Source organism: Homo sapiens, chromosome 12, assembly GCF_000001405.40.
Source record: "Homo sapiens chromosome 12, GRCh38.p14 Primary Assembly".
NCBI classification, from domain to species: domain Eukaryota; kingdom Metazoa; phylum Chordata; class Mammalia; order Primates; family Hominidae; genus Homo; species Homo sapiens.
Window position 1 is genome coordinate 70,901,201 of NC_000012.12, and position 22,785 is coordinate 70,923,985.

Below are 22,785 nucleotides of genomic sequence, written 5' to 3' on the forward strand. Positions count from 1 at the left end.
CTCAAAAAACTAAAAATAGAACTACCATATGTTCCAGCAATCCCAATTCTGGGTGTCTATCTCCCCTAGATTAAAATGAATTGTCAAAGAGATGCCTGCACTCCTACGTTCACTGAAGCGTTATTCACAATAGCCAAGATACGAAAATAACCTAAGTGTCCATCAATAGACGAATGGGTAAAAGAGCATGGTACTGCTATAAAAATAGGCACATAGACCAATGGAACAGAATACAGAACCTGGAAATAAACCCAACTACTTACAGCCAAATGATCTTCGATAAAGCAAACAAAAATATAAAGTGGGGAAAGGATATCCTTTGCAAAAAGTGGTGCTGGGATCATTGGCTAGCCACATGTAGAAGAATGAAACTGGATCCTCATCTCTCACTTTATACAAAAATCAACTCAAGATGGATTAAGGACTTAGATCTGAGACCTAAAACTCTAAAAATCCTAGAATATTGGAAAAACCCTTCTAGATATTGTCTTAGGCGAGGATTTCATGGCCAATAACCCAAAAGCAAATGCAATAAAAAGAAAGATAAATAGTTGGGACTTAATCATTAATTTAATTATTAATTAATTTAATTAAGCTTTTGCATGGCAAAAGAATAGCAGAGTAAACAGATAACCCACAGAGTGGGAGAAAATCTTCACAATCTATTCTATTTTTAGTTTTTAAAGGAACCTCTATACCATTTCCCATAACACATCTGACAAAGGACTAATATTCAGAATCTATACAAACTCAAACAAATCAGCAAGAACAAAACAAACAATCCCATAAAAAAAGTGGGCTAAAGACATGAATAGACAATTCTCAAAAGAAGGTATACAAATGGCCAACCAACATATGAAAAAATGCTCGACATCACTAATGATCAGGGAAATGTAAATCAAAACCACAATGCAATACCACCTTACTCGTGCAAGAATGGCCATAATCAAAAAATCAGAAAACAGTAGATGTTGGCATGGATGCAGTGATCAGGGAACACTTTAACACTGCTGGTGGGAATGTAAACTAGTACAGCCACTATGGAAAACAGTGTGGAGATCCTTAAAGAACTAAAAGTAGAACTACTGTTTGATTCAGCAATCCCACTACTGGGTATCCACTCAGAGGAAAAGAAGTCGTTATATGAAAAAGATACTTGCAAACACACGTTTATAGCAGCACAATTCGCAATTGCAAAATCGTGGAACCAACCCAAATGCCCGTCAATCAACGAGTGGGTAAAGAGACTGAGATCTATGTCTATATGAGATACTGAGATATATAATCTATATATATGTCTCTATATATGTATAGCTATATCTATATATACACACAATGGAATACTACTCAGCCATAAGAAGGAATGAATTAATGGCATTCGCAGCAACCTGGATGGTATTGGAGACGGTTATTCTAAGTGAAGTAACTTCAGGAATGGAAAACCAAACATCGTATGTTCTCACTGATATGTGGGAGCTAAGCTATGAGGATGCAAAGCCATAAGAATGATACAATGGACTTTGGGGACCAGGGAGAAGAGTGGGAGGGGGGCAAGGGATAAAAGTCTAACAAATAGGGTGCAGTACATACTGGTTGGGTGATGGGTGCACCAAAAATCTCACAAATCAGCACTAAAGAACTTACCCATGTAACAAAACACCCCCTGTACCCCCAATAACTTATGGGAAAAAGAGAAAAGGTAGCATGTACATATAATGTAATACTATTCAGTCTTATAAAAGGAAGGAAATCCTAACCTTTGTGGCAACATGGATAAACCTAGAGGACATTATGCTGAGTGAAATAAGGTGGGCACAGAAAGACAAATATCATATGATCTCACTTATATGTGAAATCTAGAAAAGTAGAGAGTAGAAAGATGGTTATCAAAGGCTGGGACAGGGAATGGGGAAGGAATGAGGAGTTGTTGGTTAAAGGATATAAAGTTTAAGATAGGCAGGAAAAACAAATTTTGAGATCTATTGCACAGCAGGGTGACTATAGTCAATAATTTATTGTGTATTTCAAAATATCTAAGAGCATAAATTTGAAATGTCTCACCACAAAAATGCTAAACAAGTGAGGTGATAAATATGTTAATTGTCTTAATTTAATCATTTTACCCTGTATATCTATATAAAAACATCACATTTTACCCCATACATAAAATTATGATCTGTCAATTAAAAATAATGTAAATCAAAAATAAAATAACTGCTAAATAAAATTTAAAAAATGAATTCAGAGAAAGTATTACCATTTGATTTTTGATAAAGGTGAACAATAAAGGACAGCCTTTTCAAAATTACATTTAAAGTATTAGACATCCATATGTAACAAAATGAACATTTACCTAAACTTCACACTTTATACAAAATTAACTAAAAAGTTTCACAGATCTAAATGTGTAATGTACAAACTATAGAACTTTTAGAAGAAAACATAGAATAAAATCTTTATTACCTAAGGTTAGGCAAAGGTTCCTTGGACATGACATCAAAATCACAATCCACAGAGAAAAAGATAATCTGGATGGAATCAGAATAAAAAGAAATTTGCTCTGTGAAAGATACTGTTAAGAAAGGGAGAAAGCTAGCTAGAGAGTGGGAGAAAAATAATTACAAGTCACATATCCAACAAAAGGTTTGTAACTGGAATGTATAAAGAACTCTCAAAACTCAACAATTAGAAAACAAACCAGTTTAAAAATGGGCTAAAGACTTGAACAAACACTTTATTAAAGAGGATACATGAATGGCAAATTAGCAAATGAAAGTATGTCCATTTCTATTAGCCAATAGGAAAATGCATATTAAAAATTGTGATATGATATTAGAATTGCTAAAATGAAATGTACTAATAATACTGGAGAGGATCTGGAGCAACTGGAAGTCTCAGACCTTGCAGGTGAGAATGCAAAATGGCAAAGGCACTCTGGAAAATGGTTTGACAGTTTCTTGTAAAGTTAAACACATACTTAGCATATGATATAGCAATTTCACTTCTACATTCTTACCCCAGAGAAATAAAAATGTATATTCCCACAAATGTCTGTAAACAAATTTTATTAGCAAGTCTATTCATAATTGCCCCCAAATGGAAACAACTCAAATGTCCTTCAATGGGTGGATAGATAAACTATGATACATCTAAACAATGTAATACCACTCATCAGTAAAAAAAAGTGAGCTATTGATCCACACAACTTGAATATAAAAGGCATTAAGTTGAGCGAAAGAAGCCAGTCTCAAAAAGTCACTGTATTTTTCCATTACATGACATTCTCAAAAGACAAAAAAATATAGTTATGAAATACAGATCAGTGGTTATTTGGGTGTAGGAGTTGGAGACAAAAAGATAGTAGGAAGTTTTTTTGTGGTGAGCGAACTATTCTGTATCCAGATTGTGGTTGTGATGACATGAATCTATACATGTGTGAAAATTCATAGAACTATACACCAAAAAAGTCAATAGGTTATACTATGTTTTGTAAGCTACTTTTTTCAAGCGTAACTATATCAAACATCTTTTCTCATAACTAAATTTAAGTCTTTTTCATAAGAAATATCATTGATGAATTTATAAAAAGTAGTTTCAGTGTGTTGGGAAGGGACAGAAAGCTAAATTTAATTGAAATGAGGACTGAGTAGGAGATAAAGTAGAAACAAAATAAGTGGAAAAATCAAGTTTGGGTATAATAAGAGAGTGACTATGTGTTACCAGGAAGGAAAGATAGGGTTGAGGGATGTGTTTTTGGTTTCTTTTTAAGAAAGTAGAGATTTTGGCACATTTAATCCTCAAGGAGAAGGAGCCAGCTAAAAGGAGTGATCAGACATAAGAGAATGCAGCTGGAATAATTAGTAGACTGAACTCCCCCAGAAGATAGGAGGAGAGAGGACCCAGAGTACAGGCAGAGGAATGAGCCTTGGATTTGAGGAAGGTATTTATTTCATTATAGGTAGAGGGGAGGGAGATTAGGGATGTTAATGGGTTTGGTGTTGGAAGTTGAGAAAATTATCTTTTGATGGTGTCTATATTTTCTGTGTAGAAGGAGATGAAGTCATCTCATAAGAGAGTGAGGACTAGGGAGGAAAGATGAAAGGTTTCAGGAGAATGGAGAGGAATTGAAAGAGTTATTGTAAAGAAAGTTGATATGAAATACATGGTAGGATTTCTTGTCTTCATTGAGAGTTCAGTGACAGTTTTCCCTACCTGTGAGGGATAGAGTGTCTCTTACAGAATGTTTAGTAAGTAGCTTGCCAAAGATACTAATCTACATTTAAAATAAAAGAACTTTTATCATAAAAACAACATTTACATGAAAATAACCAGTGAGATTTGATGGTCATAAAATTGCACAGTTGAAATTGAAATTTCATTCTGGGTATGACCTTGGTAGCCTCTGAAGAGATCTTTAACAAAGGAAAGAGAAATGAATGAAATTACAATGTTTAGTTAGAGTACATTATGATTCATTATTTCAAATTCAGTGTTGGTTATTCCTGAATGCATAAGGTAGAATGGCCTTGTATACACTCTCTCAGAATAAATCCTCGCATTGCAAGTACTTAAGTCAATGTCAATAACTTGTGAAAGAAAGAATAAAACAGTGGTCTCCAAAGAGACTTGAAAAAGTGAACAATCAAAAAAAGGCTTTTACTGTGTAATCATTTTTTGAAAAGACAATCATTGTTTTGTTAGGAATGTTAACACCTTCTTCTCTAGAAAGGAGAGATAAATGGATAGCATCAAGGGCTTCCCTTGAGAATTTATGCATGAGAAATGATTAGGCTCCCATTTATTTGATTTGTTAATGCCTCTCAGGAAAATTAAAAATACATAATTGTAGCAATAAAAGTTCTTTTGGGAAAGGTGCCTATTTAGTATTGAGAAAGGAAAGAAACATGCTTTTTATTAAGAGGAAAGAATTAAGAAATAAAGGAAGGACCTAGATTCTAATTTAAATGACCTCCCAACTTCTCTCTTCTCGTCTGTGTTAGCTCACCCCAATGAGCCTCAGTCTTCTCATCAGAAAATGTAGGTGGTTTTTGCATATCTACAACTAGATTAGAAATATATTTCAGTAAAAAAGAAGCCACAATTCAGTTAGACAGATTTTGCATGGTCCTGATTTTTTTTCTAAAGAAATAAGTTTTTCCATAAATAGTATAAAAGACACTTTGGGAACTTACAGAAGCAGGGATTTCCAGAAATTCTACTCTGGGATGTAAGGAGGCTAATATTAAATCTATTATTTAGTTGTTCTATCATTCTATTGGTAATAGTAACAAGAGATAACCAGAATACTAATCTCCAGTTAAAAGTGTCAACAGTAATAACACTAAACCCCACTGATAAACATTACAGCCTTCCCAAAATATGACAACCAATGTTAGTTAGGATAACCTCCCAAAATACAACATATGCTATATACAAAGCCAGTTTTACAGAATTCAGTTTCTGTGCCTTAGTTATGTTCCAACAATATATGCATATGTATGTATATATTTGTATGTACACACATTGTTTTGTTTTGTATCCTGACACCAAATAACCAATTTGACAAAAATATTTATCCTTAAACTAGCCATTTTGTTACAAAAAGTTTTTTTAAAAAAAAATCAGTTTCTACGAGATGACAATAATTAAATTTGCCAAAATTATAAACATGGACCCAAAAAACACGTGGATAAACTTATTAAAAGAACACTTCCAAGGCTGGTCCCAGTGCAGTGGTGTTTACAACTAATTGATCACAACCAGTTGCGGATTTCTTTGTTCCTTCTCCACTCCTACTCCTTCAATTGACTAGCCTTAAAGAAAACTAAAATAAAATTTTAACACGTCCTTCCAGGACTGGTTTTTCTAAGATCCAGTCTACACACTGGCTACTAAGATGTGAAAATATAATTCTACCAGGAAGTGTTGTGACATTCTTTAATATTATTTAAACTCTCCACATATTTGAACAGTGATGTGTCCAATACATCTATAATAAAAATAAAGAAACCAATAGCAAAGTAATTGTTCTGTTTTTATAGTGCTAGCTCTGATCACTGCTATTTAAGAGAAGAACCTGAATCCCATTAGAGTAAGGGATGATTTTAATCACCTTGTAAAGTTTCCTCACATGTTTTTTCACATTTCCCAAAATATTCTATTAGGAAAAGTGGCTCCTCCTTCCACTGTCAGCCCAGCATAAATACTCTGGATATCCCTTACTTCTCCCTGTTTATCCATTGAAAGTTGAGCTGAACAGTGTAAACCTCTATTTGGGAGTTACAGAATTGACAACCGTTTCAGGAAAAATCCATTGTCTGCTATTTGCTGGTGGTAAAATTGCAATGAAAGGGGTTCATGTTTCCTGATTTTTGCCCAGCTTTAATAGAGTTATTTTTCATTTGATAAATATCTATTACAGAGTGGAACATAATACAATTAAAACGGTACCTTGGGACAATGTGACTAGACATAAGTCATGAAGAAAGAATGAGCATTAAGACCTTGGGCCTCAGACTCTGCTGGAAAAAGTGAAATGTGTGCCAGCTGAGGTATAGCAATCAGATGTCCCCCAGTTTCTGAAGTATTGAGTCAAAGGATACTGGGAGGAGAGGTTGACAGGAGTGAATGCTACTATATGTTAAATGTTATACAGCCATTAAGAGAGGACTATCAAACTACACCCTCTGGGAAAAGGCAGAAAAATGCTCATATGGCTAGAAAGCTAAGACTGCAGAAATCACAGGAGTTCAGTTCTGTTTGCACTCACTGAATAATGAAGTAGTACATTTAGAAACTAATTCTATACATCGTTCATTGTTATACAAACAGCTAAAATATAATTGTTTTCAAATAAAGATTAGAAACTATCTCCATTGTTTTCATAGCAGAGTTCTCCAGACAACTTAAAAACTGGGCTCCAATTTTAAGACAAAGGAAAAAAAAGTGTCTGTTTTAAGAATAATTCTCATAGCAGATTAGGAATTATATTAAAACATAGCAAAACGAACATTAGAACACATAAATATTAAAATCTCACCATAGTAATGATACTACAGAGACATTAATGCTTATATATTAGGGGAAGAGGAAAGTGGGTGTATTAGTCCATTCTCACGCTGTTAATAAAGACATACCAGAGACTGGGTAACTTATAAAGAAAAAGAGGTGTAATTGACTCACAGTTCCGCGTGGCTGGGAAGGCCTCAGAAAACTTACAATCGGCAGAAGGGGAAGCAAACACATCCCTCTTCACATGGCAGCAGGTGAGAGAATGAGTGCCCAGAGAAGGGGGGAAGTCCCTTATAAAACCATCAGATCTCGTGAGAACTAACTTACTACCACAAGAACAGGATAGAGGAAGCCGCCCCATGATTCAATTATCTCCACCTGGTCCCTCCCACAACAGGTGGGGATTATGAGAACTACAATTCAAGATGAGACTTGGGTGAGGACACAGCCAAACCGTATCAATGGGGAAAGAGGTCTGTAGCTGGCCACTTGAAGAGATCCCTGTCCTGGTCTCCCTTGCCTGTGTTTTGGGATTTGAGGGGCACTTGGTAGACCCTTTCAACACTGCTATTCCATCTCGTTCTTGCTCTTTCATCCACCATTTGAAATTAATGGCACTGGGCTAAGGCTCTGCTTTCTAATGATTCTTTGAAAAATCAAAATTAAGGAAGGGCCATATAATTAACAGCTATTCTTATCTGAAGTAGATCAGTGTGGCACATCCTTTCTGAGAAGAGATCTCTCCTGGAATAGGAAGCAGCAACTACCCAGTTTAGCTGAGGGTGGAGAAGAAAGAGAAAATTGGAGATTGAAGCTCAGATTAGAAACATAGTTCCCAAGTGTAAACTTCAAGACATGAAGGGCTGGTGGAGGGAGGACCTGAGGGGCGCTGCCAGCAGTGACAGCTGATGCTGCAGGGTGAGGTATTGGGTACCAGAGGCACAAGACAGGCCTGGACTGGCAGGAATTGATCCTGCACCCACTGGGAATTTGCTGCAGACTCAGCAAAACTTAACCCAAGGGGAGACAGGACACCTGATTCCCTAATTGTATGTGTGAGAACTCTCTTTGATTTCATAAAGTGCATACCCTCCCCCACCACACACACATCAAAGATATGTGGACAGGATTTTCAAATTGGAGTATGCAAATTGTGCACAGGCATGAAGAATCACTGTCCAGATCCTCAGCTTTTTTCTAAAATTTATCTGCTTCAGAATGTACCTATAGTCAGGGACACATTTCATGCTGGCACTCCTTTCCGGAACAAAGCATTTCATCAAACTTTACAAAAAAAAGGTACACCTGTAACTTAATCTGAACTGAATTTCTCCATCAGGGTAGAAAAACTTCTTTGAGTCTCCACTCAAAGGAACAAAACAAAACATTAGTATAAGCAAAGCCTCTGTTAATCAGGGCCCCCTTCACATAAACTCATTGTAGGATATCAAACTTTCCCTGTCTAGTACATATTTCTCTAAGACTGAAAGTCAGCATTAGAAGTGGAATGTTTTGGCCTTTGTTGGATGTTGTGGATTCATATAGTCTGTAGAGTAGGGTAGCAGAAGTGATGATACCGCATGTCCTACCCAATCCCTGAGACTGACAGATACTTTGTCAGAAGAAAGGTTGCCCGTGGTGGCAGTGCCTCTGGTGGTTAGAGGTTTTTTTTCTCTTATATACTTGTTTTGAAAGCAGGATTTAGTTTCTTCAACATGAACTTGCTAATTATGAGCATTTAAAAATTTATAAGACGAAGGTTTTACTAGTATTTTAAAAATTGGGACATGCTTATTTGATCTTCATAGCATGTACTCTTCACAAATGAAGGTTTTAGAGTGATTTTTTTTAATAGGTCAATAGTCAATGTGCACCATTTTTCTTTTTATATTTTCTTTTCATTGGTCTTATATTGCAGCTATAGGAAATACAGGACCAATGAAAGTTTTCACATGTTAATACAACTCCTACAACTACTAGTATTGAATATAGAATATATTCAGTGTTCCAGGTTCCATGCTGCAGGGTCTTATACATTAGCTTTTTAAATGGGAGAAGATGGGATTCGAACTCAGGTAGTCAAATCCTAGAGCCCAAATGTTTTTTTGTTTGTTTGTTTTTATTGTACTACATGAGTTAAGGCATATTTTTGTTGTTTCTGAAGTATAAGCATGCCATTTCAAAACATTTTTCAATCCTAAAAGGTAAGGCAATTATCTTACAAAAGCACCTTGGGTAGAGTTTAGCACATCAAAGGGATTTAGGAAATACTCATTTGTTATCTCCTTCCTGTCTTAAAAGGAAATCTATTTGTCTTTTCCATATGAAATTCAATGCTTGTCTTGAGAGGAAGACTTTTTATTATGTTTCTGTAGCTTCAGTTAATGCTCAGATTTAGGAGTTACAAATAACATGATAAAATTTATAATTTAAGCCCTCTAAATATCAGGCATTCCCAGTTTGAGGAAATAAAACAATCAAAAGTAACCAATGAATGCCTGATGGGAAATCCTGATGCTCTAGAGGTACAGAGGTTCCCAGCAATGCCAAGAGACATGCCCAAATGCCCAAGGGGACCAGGCTTGTGAGGACTCATGTGAATTGCCCTAGTGAGCTTCTTAAATGTCATGAAATTTTCAGAGGCACTGAAAGAGCTGCCAGATGTGTCTCTGGATTTGCATAGAGAAGTGAAGCATCATGAAAAAGTTTCTATAACTGAATTCTGAGTTTTCTTGTGAACTATGGGTCTCCAAGGGAGTCAAACTGAAGCTATAAATAATAGGTCACCTGAGGTAAAATCAGCAGCGAGAAGAGTCCTGGAAAAGCAGGGTCAGCTGAGTAGCCTGGGTTTTAGGGGAGTGGTGAGTAGTTCAATGAATAGGTTGTGGCTGCATGTGACCTTTTCCATTATGTTCTTCCCATACCCATGCCCCTCCTTCTATCCCTTTACATTCAAACACCCCTGTCTTGGCTGGTGTCTGCAGAACCACAGGCAGCCTTCCACATGGACCTACAGCCCAATGGTCTAGAAATTCCATGGGCTACAAATGGTAAATAGGATAGTATCAGTTGGTCAGTAGAGAAGAAGGATGGCCAGAGGAGTAGACAACAGATGGGAAGCCTATAGACCTATGAGCAGCATCCCTCGTCCATGCTTGAGCTTTTCACCCTTTGTGGGTCCCTAGAGGGATTAATTAGGAAGATGTATCCTAGGACAAGTCTAGACTGCCTGCTAAGCAAGGCAGTGCAGTAGGAACTAGGCACTTCAGATTTATGATGTTTATGTAAATGTTACACATTTTCAGTCACAATCAGGCATATCCAAGAGAAATTTTTATTTCACATTCATTTAAGTAGAACTTGCTGAAGACATGATGCTAGAATTCATGTTTAGATGAAACTTTTAGAAAAGGCATTGGGAGAGATATCTGCAGGGAGGTAGATATTTTCGAGCTTCATAGTCCACTACAAACCTGCACATATGGTCAGGCTCCTGCCTATAGCATACAGATGAAAACTATCAAGAAAAGGCTCAACTGAAAAAAAAAAAAAAAAACCACTCAGAATCCAGAATGTATCTAGGTGTGTATGCTTACCCAGTATTGGCATAAACATAAAAAGAATAAGAAATTCCTCCAAGGTACAATTAACCATTTATCATCTCCTTAGTCTAATCACGTAATGCCTAACACTTCTATGACACTCTCTAAGACTGCAAGTTTGGATATATTATCCCACTTAACTCTCAACTACTATGGAATTCTGCTAAAAAGTTATCTAGAAACATGACATTTCCCCTTGTTTAAATTTTCTCCTTTCTTCTGTTTAAGCTACTTTATTTTCTTCAGGGAGAATTTTAAAAATACCACCTTGAATCAAGAAGACAAAGAAACTAAATTGCTTATGATTGAAAGCCATACATTTACATTAATGGATTGATGGTCTTTCAACCTAACTAACTCACTATGATATTATGTTTGATCATTTTTCCCAGATAAGTGAAAGTCACCCAGTGGTGAACTGATTCTGTGCATTTATTGCTTCCTTTTCTCTCCAGTATGCCTCAGGAATTGGATCATTAGTACAGTGAAATAGCTGTAGAGTCTTGCTCTGTACATATTGCTGTACAGTCCAGTGAATCACTGTGAGATGCTTTTACTCTGTGCTCATTAAATGCTCCTTTCCAAAGAATCAGTAGTTTAGGACTGCCTGAGGCCAGTCTTCTCATTTAAGTCAGAAAATGGACATTGCTTTAGATCTGAAAAAAAGGAAATAAAAAATAAAATAGAAATAGGAAAAAATAATTCATGTCCCCAATGAACTTGGCATTTGCTAAGTTCTAGACTGCTGCATAATATAAATAATAGTTTTGCTTTGTTGTTGGTCCATGTGGCTGCAATTTTAATGGACATCAACATCTTAATATATTAAAATCAAATGAGATTTGATTATGAGGAAAGTTTATGCAGTCATTATGAATAAAAATGATTTAAGTGGAAAGTGCTAATGTTTATAATATAAATTTGCTAATTGTCCTTTTGTGGCAAATATCATTACTATAGTAGGCACTTATAGTTACATTATATGGTACATAAGCATTAGGAAATTTGATCTTAAAATAATATTTTAGCATTACATCTTTATTTTTCGAAACTACTAACATCCTTTATGTTGGGAAACATCAATGCTACTCTAAGTGTGTCAGCATTTGTAAATGCCTTGAAGATGAAAAATGCACTCATGGGCCAAGTAGAATCTTTCAAATCCCCTTTTAAAGGAAAAAATGGCTTTCACTAGCTTTTGAATTTGACTCACAGAACAACTTTTAAGATTTAACAATAAACTTGCCATAAAATATAACATCCGTGTTATCTCTAATACTAATGGCAATGAATGGGCTTTTGATTTGTGATCTGATCATCTCACATAAAGCGATTTTTAAATAATTCACAAAATAGTCTCCATTCTTCAGGTGTAAGAATGTCTTCTATGAGAAAAAATATGTGGGATCCAAAAACTTTATGGTTCTATAAAGACTGTATACACACAAAATGAGAGAAAAAATGTATACAACCACTCAAATATTCAGACATTTTGTGTGATGATTTGGTTTTTAATTCAGAGAGAAAAGGAGGGTTGAATAATTTTTGGTCTTGATTTATTGAAGCCACTGTCTCACACTCCCACCTGATTTTGAATGTGTAAATGTCTTGTATTTGCTATAGGTAGATAATAACCAATCAGTAATCAGGGTTAGGAGTTCCGGGTCCATTCTGTAGTGGACAACTATCATGCTATGTTGTTTATCTAACTCTTTGAGCTCTTTAAAGTAAAAAAAAAATCTCATTCTATTCTTAAGTAGTACTGGAAAATCATGCAAGAATGTCTATCCATCTAGAAAGAGTTCAGCACACAAGTACACTACAAATAGCATCATGCCCATGGGACACAAACTTATCTTATGGAGTGTATTTACATAGAAAATTTTCTGTCCCATCTCCATTTCCTTGTTGTCAATAAGTGTAAATTGCACTAAGGTGGCAGTAGTAAAGTCAATTACCTTCTTTATGGTCATGAAGATGAGATATAATCTCTTGGTCAATGTAAATTAATTTATCACAATTCATTTTAACAAATATATTTAATATATGTATTCATTCATTGAACACTTACTGATGCCATATTAGGTAACAAGCATAGTTCTAGGGAATAAGTATATAGAAATAAAGCTGCAATTGTGTTATTGTTCTCAAAAAACTTCAGTATACAGGTTAAGTACATTGACAGGGGAATATACAGGATTGAAAAGGGAAATGTAGGAGAGCTACTTGAATGAGGTGAGTCATCCAAAAAAAAGAAGATTCTCAAAGTGGGCTATGCCTGATCAACATTTGAAGTTGGAGAAAGAGTCATCTAAAAAAAGGAGCAGAGTATTGGTATTTAAGAGAAATAGAACAGTATGTGAAATGATTCAAGACATGGCAAACCAAAGGAAATTTTGTCTTAGTGTGATATTAGTGTGCAAAGGAGGGCAAGATGAGAAGACCTCATCGCAAAAGACTGCCTTCCTAATGAGTTTGGAGTTTATTCTAAAAGAAAAGGAGATAGCTGTATTAAAGAATTTTTTGGAGAAAGAATATGATCAGGTATGCTTTTAAGAGTTTCACCTCCGACATTATTATAAAGAATAAATTTGATAGGAGGTCATCACAAGATATTATGTGAGAAATAAGGATCTGTCTCAAGGCAGTGACATGATCATGGAGAGTGGAGAACATCTTATGAGAAGAGTTTGAAACCTTTAAGATGAAAGTAGCAAAGGGATGATCTAGGATCAATTATTTGTTTCAGACCTGGGTCATTGTGAAGAATCCTGGTGTTATTCACAATGTTAGGGAATATTTATCAGAGTAATTGTGTTGAGAAGTGTTGAGTAAAAATAGTTGTATATAAGATTATTGTGGGGCCAGGTACTGTGGCTCACACCTGTAATCCCAGCACTCTCTGAGGTTGAGGCAGGAGGACTGCTTGAGCCCAGGAGGTCGAGGCTGCAGGGAGCCATGATTGCACCACTGCACTCAAGCTTGGGCAACAGAGTGAGGCCCTGTCTCTAACAACAACAACAGCAACAACAACAACAACAAAAACAAAAAGATTACTATGGAATATACAATGACTTCTAGGTAATTTTAAATATAGAACCAGAGTTCAGGGGAGATAACTGAGATGGAAATGTGGATTTTGGAATCTTTGACGTGCAAGTCTGAGTATAATTATCCAGGGAGATTGTATACAGAGAAAAATAACAAAAAATCAATGACAAGCTGTAGAGAGCACTAACCATTAAATAATACACAGCAGAAGACCTAAAAGTACAAATTGAGAAATGGCTGGAGAAATAAGAGGGAAGCTAGGAAGTAATGACTGTCTGTGGAAGTCAAGTGAGGAAAAATTTTAAAATTCAGAAAGGGGTCAAAATATATAAGTACTATAGAAATGCATTGATAACAAGAACATACATTACAATAACCTCTTTAATTATGTTCAACCATAGGATGATAGGATGAGGACGGAAGCTGATAGAGAAGTAGGTGAGAAATAAAGAAGAAAAGGCTGAATGTGCATAATGCATCCCAGAATTTTTACAAGGTGTTAGGTAGGATGTGATTTTCAATGGAATATGTGAGGTGCTATTCTATTGGAGGTGCTAGAAATATGTCATCTCCAATATACATATTCCTGTGTCTCTTAAGTACCAAAGAAGCAAATCAGTTTTTTCTAGTGTATTAGACTCTCTGTTTGTAAATCAGCTGATCCCTGTAGCCATTCCTACATGTACAAGGCATTTCACTGAGAAGTGAAAATGTAGCCAATCAGCAAAGAATTTGGGCTGCACAATATCTGGCAATCAGTTTGAAAGACTTTTTTCACTGAGTTGATTAGTAGTTCTGGTCTAACACAAACCCATCCTTTATTGCCCTTCAGTTCACAATGACAGCAAAATCTGTTAGAGATAGTGTGTTTTGGGGGCATGTGAGGCAACATGAGTTTTGGACAAATGAGCTGTTTAAGTCCATTCCAGAAGTGGCTAAGTGGACTATGTGTGTTTTTTGTGGGTGTTAAGAAGATATTAAATGCAAAAAGAAGAGACCAGAAATATCACTGTATTACATTATTTATTTAACTTATTTATTTAATCTTTAGAAAGATTTTATGTCAGGAACTGCCCCCAGGTACTAGGTAGCCCAAGACCTCTAATACATGCAATAATAAACAAAACAGGCAAAAATATGTGCCCTAAATGGGCTTACATTTTAATACAGAGAGGGGAAACTACAATAAAAAAAGTAAAATATATTGTATGTTGGGTGGTGAAGACCTCTGGGGAAAGAAAAGTTAGGCAGGGAAAGGGTGCTAGAATTTTTATCTGGGTGATGGGGGGAAGGGAAAATGAAATATGAAATAGAATAACCTCATTAACAAGGTAATATTTAATTAAAGTTCTAAAATTATTGTGGGATTAAGCTGTGGAGACACCTGGAGAAAGAAAAAAGCAAAACAGTATGAAAGGGTGAGTGCCTGGCATCTTCTAGAAACAGAAGGATAAATATGGCTGGAGAGAGGTAAAAAAAGAAGAAAGTAGTGAGAGATAATATCATAGAAATAATGTGGAGAGAGACTCTAGACCATTGTAAGGTCTATATTGAGTGATTTTCAATAGGAAAAACAAATTCTGGAGTTCTAAGGAACATCTTAAAATCTTAAAATATATCATTTACCTGTTAGTCTATCGTTTCTTTTGAGGGTGGTACTTCTGCAAATCATCTCCCAGATCTTCTTGGCACCATCATAGAATACCTTTCTTCTCAGAGACTAGAGAAATTGACTATGCACTTCTCTGAGAGATTTTCAATAGGAAAAACAAATTCTGGAGTTCTAAGGAACATCTTAAAATCTTAAAATATATCATTTACCTGTTAGTCTATCCTTTCTTTTGAGGGTGGTACTTCTGCAAATCACCTCCCAGATCTTCTTGGTACTATCATAGAATACCTTTCTTCTTAGAGTCTAAGGAAATTGACTATGCACTTCTCTGAGAGTGAAGAGATAGTTTCAGGAGATACATTGAAGGCAGTCTTTGTGCCATTCAAAAAGGCTGATAGCAAGAACAACACAGAAATTTGAAAGAACCTTTTCCAGAACTCAAAGAGAAAGCAATGGATTGAAATCAGTTTCTGTATTTTGTTAGCAAAACATTCCCTAGGAAAAAGAAAGCTTTCACATGAGAATTTTTAATATATCTCAAAAATGTACTCTTTTGCAACTAAAATACAACACTATAAATAATATCTCCTCAAATGGAATATGCTTCTTTGGACAAAGGAAGAGGAGAAATGCTGAAGAAAATAAGCTCTGTGGATCTTCCACATAATATTTTTTTACCATTCGTATTATTGTGGTGGCTTTTAATTGCCTCCTTGAATATTCCTGAAGTGGTATTTTCAACTGGAGTTTATATATTAAACTGGTTCACGAAAGAGTAAAGAATAAGGACAGTTAGGTAAAAAGTATTTTGCACCACTAACTTAATCAATGGTGGCCTCACCTATTGTAGAACCAGTGTATAATTTTATATAGTATGCAACCACGGGTCTGGAAACCTGGGCTTTTATCCCGACTATGCTATTAACTACCACTTTAATACTCTAGATCTTCATTTTCTCACCTGTAAAATAAGCAGTTGGATGGACAATAACCACAACTTCCTTGTTAGGTGATCTATAAAAATCGGCTGCCATGGGTAGAGTAGTGTCCAGCTTCTCTAACAAGAACCATGCTTAGTAATCCTTTAGTGTTAATTTACCCAGAGATGCCACTTACACAGCATGGTACCCACTCCTCATTTTTCTCCCACAGCTATTATAGACCACAGTACTTCTCCCTAGCCAGAATGCGAGTCATAATCTTCTTTTTCCCCCCGATGGTGTCTTAGGCAACCATAAGCAAAATAATGGGAGATGGCACTCAAGTTGCAAGCAGTTTGCTACTTATCATTACAGGCATGGTTATATTGAAGGCAACAGTTCCTAATATAGCTAAAAAGAACACTTACATCCCGTTAGCACATTCCTCCCATCTCTAAAGCATTATAAGGTGTCATCAGTTCCACCAGCATAAAGCAGTTGCTGATACCCTGGGCGTAACCAAAATGGATCAATTAGCTTTACAGTTAAAGAGGCCTGAATGTATAGAATTCATTTCCCTTCTTTATGAAGTCAGCCTCTGTTCTGAGAGAAAAGTCTTCCATAAAAGTAACAAACTCACACCTTCAACAAGTAGAGATTAATATCTTGATTTCTTGATCTTTGTCATCCCATCCACTTATTTTCTTAATCTCCAAATGTATAGAAGCTTAGACCAAGGAGCTGTGTTTGTTTTAGTTCTGATGAAAAGCCCTAACAATGTTATTAGATAACTGTGATAAATTTTAATCTGATGACAGCTTGTGACCCACAAATTGCTGTTTAAAATTAAAATGCATTTAAAATGAAATTGGCAAGAGAACTATAATATTAAACTTACAATCTGCTGTGATAAAACACCAATGTATTTTACTATATTAAATATGAATACAATGAATAGTATCTTGCAATTGAAATATAAAAATGTCCTTAAATGCATTTTCTTATTAAATTAAAATTGGTTGATTAATCTTACTTTTTATCTTTGTTTTGCAAATTAAAAAGTTGAAGTAGAGATGGATTGGATTGGCTTTGGTAATATACCCTTTGGCAGAACTCCAGGTAAAATCTAGGGCTACAGGCTTCTAGGTTTCTCATCTGATGAGCAAAAGTCCTCATTTTTCTCATCCCGAATATTCATCTACAGTAAATCAAGACATGTTTTTCACATGCTTCAGTTTATTTATAACTTTTAAGATATAATTACTCAAGATGTATCAAATGTGATCTTTAAACTTTTTTATATGTTAGTTTTGAAAAAATGACTACACTGATATTGTTGGCAGACCAGCTAAATCATTGCTACCTTAGTAAGAATTGAGATTTTTCTGTAATGAATGTTTGTGTCAGTCTATTATTAAGCAATACTATAAATAAAACTCAACCCAATGTGTATGTTTTCATCCCACATTTCAGCATTGAAGAATTGTATGTGGTAACGAAATAATTCACTACAGCTGTTTGCAAATAATTTAATAATCAAGTCATAGCTATTTTCTACTTCTCAAAATGTGCCAAAGAACTATTGAAAACTCCACAATATAACATCATAATTATAACAATTAACATGTGTATTTAATAATAGCTTTAATAATCCTATGCATTATTTGCTCAAAAGATTCATGATACATTTAAATAATAGCGTTAGCTGGAATAAGAAAGTACCATATTTCACTCCTACTATTGTACACAGAGAATAAAATTCACCCACTCTTTTAAAAAAGATACTGCAAGGATTGTAATTTCAGAACAATTATTTTTACTCATTACCCCTAGAACATAGTATACACTCAGCAAATGTTGCTTGAAGGAATGAATGGATATGTGTGATTGGATGAGAAGCACACTCAGGGAAAATGCCTCGTCTCTGGTTGTTACAGGACTACTGCATGGACAACTGCTGTCACAGTAGGGTTTCTAAAATCTCCCTGCCATATTTTATTTTGGTTCATGTGTGTGTGACAATGATAAGGAATTCAGCCTAGCAAGTCTGTCTGCATTAAATAGAGGTGCTATGTATGCAAAAAGCAGGGACACCACATATAATATCTCTCAGGTACTTCCCAAGGTTTGCTTCCTCACGAGACTTGATATTGATTCTGGTGCCTCAAATCTATTTATATTTGGGAGCAGTCTCACTGTTACTCTTGGTTACACCTTATCAAATCTGTCCGAGGGACAGTGCCTAACCCAGGGTTGTCAGCTTTGGAACTGTAATTGTTTTTTTTTTTTTTTTTTTTTTTTTTTTTTTTAATATGCCAGCGGACGCTAGCCACGGTGCTGAAAGAGACAAGAGGATTCTATTTGAAACCTTTTCTTCCTCTTATTGGCTTAGAAAATTCGAGTGACAAGAGCAGGGGCCAAAGGAGCCTGGTGCAGCATCACTAATGTGAACCATGTATTTCGATCTTTTGGGCGGAGATGTGGTCCATCAGGTTACAGCCAATGCCTTCCTATGAGCGCTCGCTAGACCAAGAGACCTTATGAATGTAGTAGCCGCTGCAGTAGAAAAGGTTACATCTAGCAGGATGTCTTATCCCTCTCCTGAAAAATTGACAGTTAAGTGCATAGCCTAGAAACAAGAGCAGGGAATCTAGACGGAGGGGAGGCGAAGGGGGGAGCAAACCTGTATTCATATTGAAAATGTTCACTATTTTCGTATAAAGTAAAGAAAAATCAAGAGCTAATTTTAGGTTAAGTTTTCGGCCTCAGTTTTCCAACAGGTGCACGACTCCCTCACCCCTTCCCTGTCAGGTACTGTCCTGTTTTACCTTTTTAGAAAGGCTTTCTTCGCAAGGCAAGCTTTTCCTAGAGTCCTTAAGCATGTGCAGTTTCCCATCTCATGCACAGCTCCGGCTCTAAGCCTGGCAACCCCTTACCTGCAGCGTGAAGATTAAGGAGCAGGCACAGCGCAGGGAAGCAGACTGCTCTCCGCATAGTGTTTGCATTGAGAGGTGGAGGAGAAACTCCACCACGACCCCACTTCAGGTAAAGTGCTATTAGAAAGAGCCACCGCCAAGGGTCTTCTAGTCTCCGGGATTCAGGTCCTCGGCTGGGGTTTGCAGAGCAGTCAGTCTGTGGCGCCGACAGAAACCAGCACCAGCTTCAACCTCCCTAAGAGAGGGAGAGAGGAAGAGCAGTAGGAGGTTGCGGGTAAGGGGAACAGAAGCGCTCAGAGGCGGCAAATGCCTGGCCTTCTGGACGCCCAGAAGCCAAGGCGGAGACGGCAGGGTGGACTCCGCGCCAGCCCAGCAGCCCAGCAGCAGCGCCGCGGCTACTGAGCATGCCCAGCGCCGGCCCTCACGAGGCAAGGGAATTTCAAAGTGAAATTCCGCTTCTCCGGGTCTTAGCGGCGGCTTGGAGCAGAGTAGGCTCCATCGCTGGGGTGGTGGTTGGGGGTGGGGGTGGGGGTGGGGAAGGGGGAAGTGCGGGGGAGACACTTGCTGTGGTTACTAGGGACCCAGCGTCCATCACAAATCCGAAGGTGGGGTGTAGCTGAGTGAGAGTAGATGGGGGCACGACCACAGGAGTCAGAGGAGGGAGCTGATGACATTGTCAACCATGCCACCCACCCTACTCTTTCCCCAAATCTTGATTTACACGTGGACCGAGCTCACTGCTGGGAATTGGCATTTGCAGATTGACCAGCTTCCCAGGACTCGCCTACAGGAATAGAGGTGTCTTCCACTGCTGAGCATTCTGGCTGCTCGGGGGAAGCGTTCCCAAGGCAGCTTGCTTGGTGTAAGCAGTAACCATGTATCTTGGGGGTGACTTCGTCCTTCCTACAGCTTCCCCCTCTTTGCTTCTCTTTCCACTCTTTCCAGCTCAATGACTGTATTTAAACTTTCTTCTGACTCAAGTCCTCACAGTGACAGAAAGAAGTGAGAAGATACTTTTAGACTAGTAGAATATATCCATGTAATTGAAGCACAAGAAGGCACCTTTTTGTTTCGTGGAGGTAATTAACTTTAGTTTCCCTTTTACTCTTTAAGGTGAAAGATAATGGATCACGTCAGTGCCTGGACTCATCCGGCCCAGCTCTGTGTCTCTAGGGAGGCTACCACAGTCTGCCATTAGATGGTTTTTTATCCCTCCATCTAAGTCTTTGGAGTGTGGAAAGCCTTATTAGTCATGGCTAATTGCTGCTAGTCAAGTCAAGAAGTCCCTCAGCTAGACTTCTCTTTTAACTATCCCAGGGCCTCTGCCCTTTCTGCCTCTGTGTCTTTATGGACACTGTTGCCTCTTTCCCATTTTCCTCCACTTGCACCACCACCACACTAGTTTTCGAAGGTGTAATGTTGGTCTCACTTTTCCAGAAAGCCCTAACTCTAACTAACTCTAGATTACAGTGATCTTTCTCTTCCACAACACTTGTTTAGCCGTGCCTCATATTATTCTTTCAGACAGTTCATTTATCTGTGGTTTGTTCTACAGCACATTGAAGTCTCCATAAGAACTGCTGAGTTTTGTATTCCATTAACTTGAATAAAGTTGTCCTAGCCAAATAATTGGGGCTAACAAGTGCCCATTGAGTTGAGCTGCACATCTCATTCAGTGCTTTCTTTCTCCATCCTCTGTGAATTGAGACAACTAATGGGAAATAGGCTATCCACCAGAGCTTAAATTAGGTGGGACCTTATAAGATCAGAGAGCCCAGGCGGTACCATTTATTTCTTTTATGATTTATGTCATCTTCAGCTCTGAGAGACAAGGCCAGGAAGCACTCCAACAAGTGGGAGAAGGGGACAATGAGATGTACTTTTAATATCTTGACAGGCCTTCTCTGCTGAAAATAGAGACATATCTCCATGTCTAGCCCCTCTCTAGCAACGTGCTCCACCCCCTACTCCCCCATGCGTGTGGCACACTCCATTTCTGTGGCACTATCATTTCATCCCAAACCACTCTAAGCTGCAACCTCTTCTCCTATTCCTGATTCACTGTCCTCCAGTTTGCTTTTCCCGTATCACTTTCTAACAAACCAAAATAATTACTTATAAAATCTATTGTTTAGTATCTATTTCCCTACTCCCCCCCGCAAAACAGAATTTGAGCTCCAATGTTGAAGAACTTTGATGACTTTATTGATATGTCCCAACTCCCTAGAGCAATGCCTCATGCAAAATAGATACTCAAAAATGAATAAATGAAAATGATAGTTGACAAAGTTCAATACTGACAATTAACTCTTTGAAATTCTTACTGAGTCAACCTTTGAGATAATTTATTTAGCATTCTGTAAAGCTTAGAAGAATAACTCTTCTCATCTAACATCTGTTACTAGAAATGCTGCAGGGCTGGAGGTTAGGGAAAAATAATTGTATCCCACTTACAATAGGTCTATTTTTCTTATTTTCTTGTTTCCTAAAATAACTAATTATCAAACTTACATAGATCTCCAAGAATAAAATATACTTACTTATGGTAATGAAACAATGCTGCAGTAATGTTCTGAACCCCTTCCTTTTCCACAGATAATTCCAACATTTATTGGTGGGGCATTTAAAATTCCCATTATTATAATTGACTATGACTTTGCCAAAAAGCATCCTGCTGGCAATGTATTTTGTTCAGGGCTGCAGGTAGCTGAATTGTTAAACTATGCATGAAAATTCCGTTAGCAGCAAAAATTTCCAATTTCCAATTTGGCTGGATATATCATTAGAATAGTTAGTTCAGCATGGTAAAAATAACCCTGAGTGGGCTGTAATTTTGGTGACTAGACATTCATTATTAATTTACTTAGAAATGATAAAGTAACGAAAAAGGTCATATTCCTATGTGAGTCAATCTAATATCATACTTGTAACGGCTTCAATTCACTTTTTCACTAATTGGCTAATTCACTCATTGCTGTTCGTGAAGTCAAACAGCAATGAATGAATTAGCCAATTAGTGAAAAAGTCAACCACTTAACTCATACAGAAATATTCTGAGTCGATAGGTGCTGTTTTTCCTTAACTGTGATCTAATGCTAGTGAAGGTGACTTGGTGTTTTGGAAAAAAAGCTTGGTTAAAACACTGCATCAGGGTTTTAAAAAGTTAGCTGTAATTCAAAGAAGCATGGAAATTACTATGAGAGAACTATACAAATTAGTAGTGGCCTACAGAGCTATGTCATAAAAGAATCATTTACATTTTACAAGATAAATAAAAAATATCATATGGAATTTTCCTCCACATAAGATGCATAATTTCTTTTTCTTATGAGGTGAGTCTTAGAGAAAATTTATGCAAGAAAGAAGCTTTTCAGAGCCTGCCTTCAAAACAGATTTAATCATTATGAGCATCCATATTTACTTCTCTATAAATGGATGAAAATTATTCATGTCAGCCATCTTTCCTTAAGACACTTTAAATTGAGAAATCAGATCCATTGATTATAAGGATCTCCTACTTAAGTTATTTAGATTACTATTATTTAAGTATAATTATGGCTAACATTGACTGTGCTTCCTGTGTGCCAGGTTCTATTCTAAGCATTTGGATGTCCTATTTAAACATTATAATATTTCTACAAAAGGATACTATA

General features: G+C 36.8%; 1 protein-coding gene across 3 annotated transcripts in view; it reads right to left on the reverse strand.

Annotated features, from left to right (window-relative positions):
• The window catches only part of PTPRR (protein tyrosine phosphatase receptor type R), a 282,666-nt gene extending 263,128 nt beyond the window's left edge, over positions 1-19,538 (reverse strand). For 2 of the 3 annotated variants that reach the window (NM_002849.4, XM_047429233.1), the window contains exon 1: positions 19,133-19,538. In NM_002849.4, coding sequence (NP_002840.2) covers positions 19,133-19,190 — 58 coding nt within the window. In that variant the 5' untranslated portion in view covers positions 19,191-19,538. Of the gene's footprint in view, positions 1-2,463; positions 2,526-19,132 lie in introns of those variants that run through there. The other variant, XM_011538615.3, reaches the window with a different exon arrangement.
• Between the last annotated feature and the right edge of the window lie 3,247 nt (positions 19,539-22,785).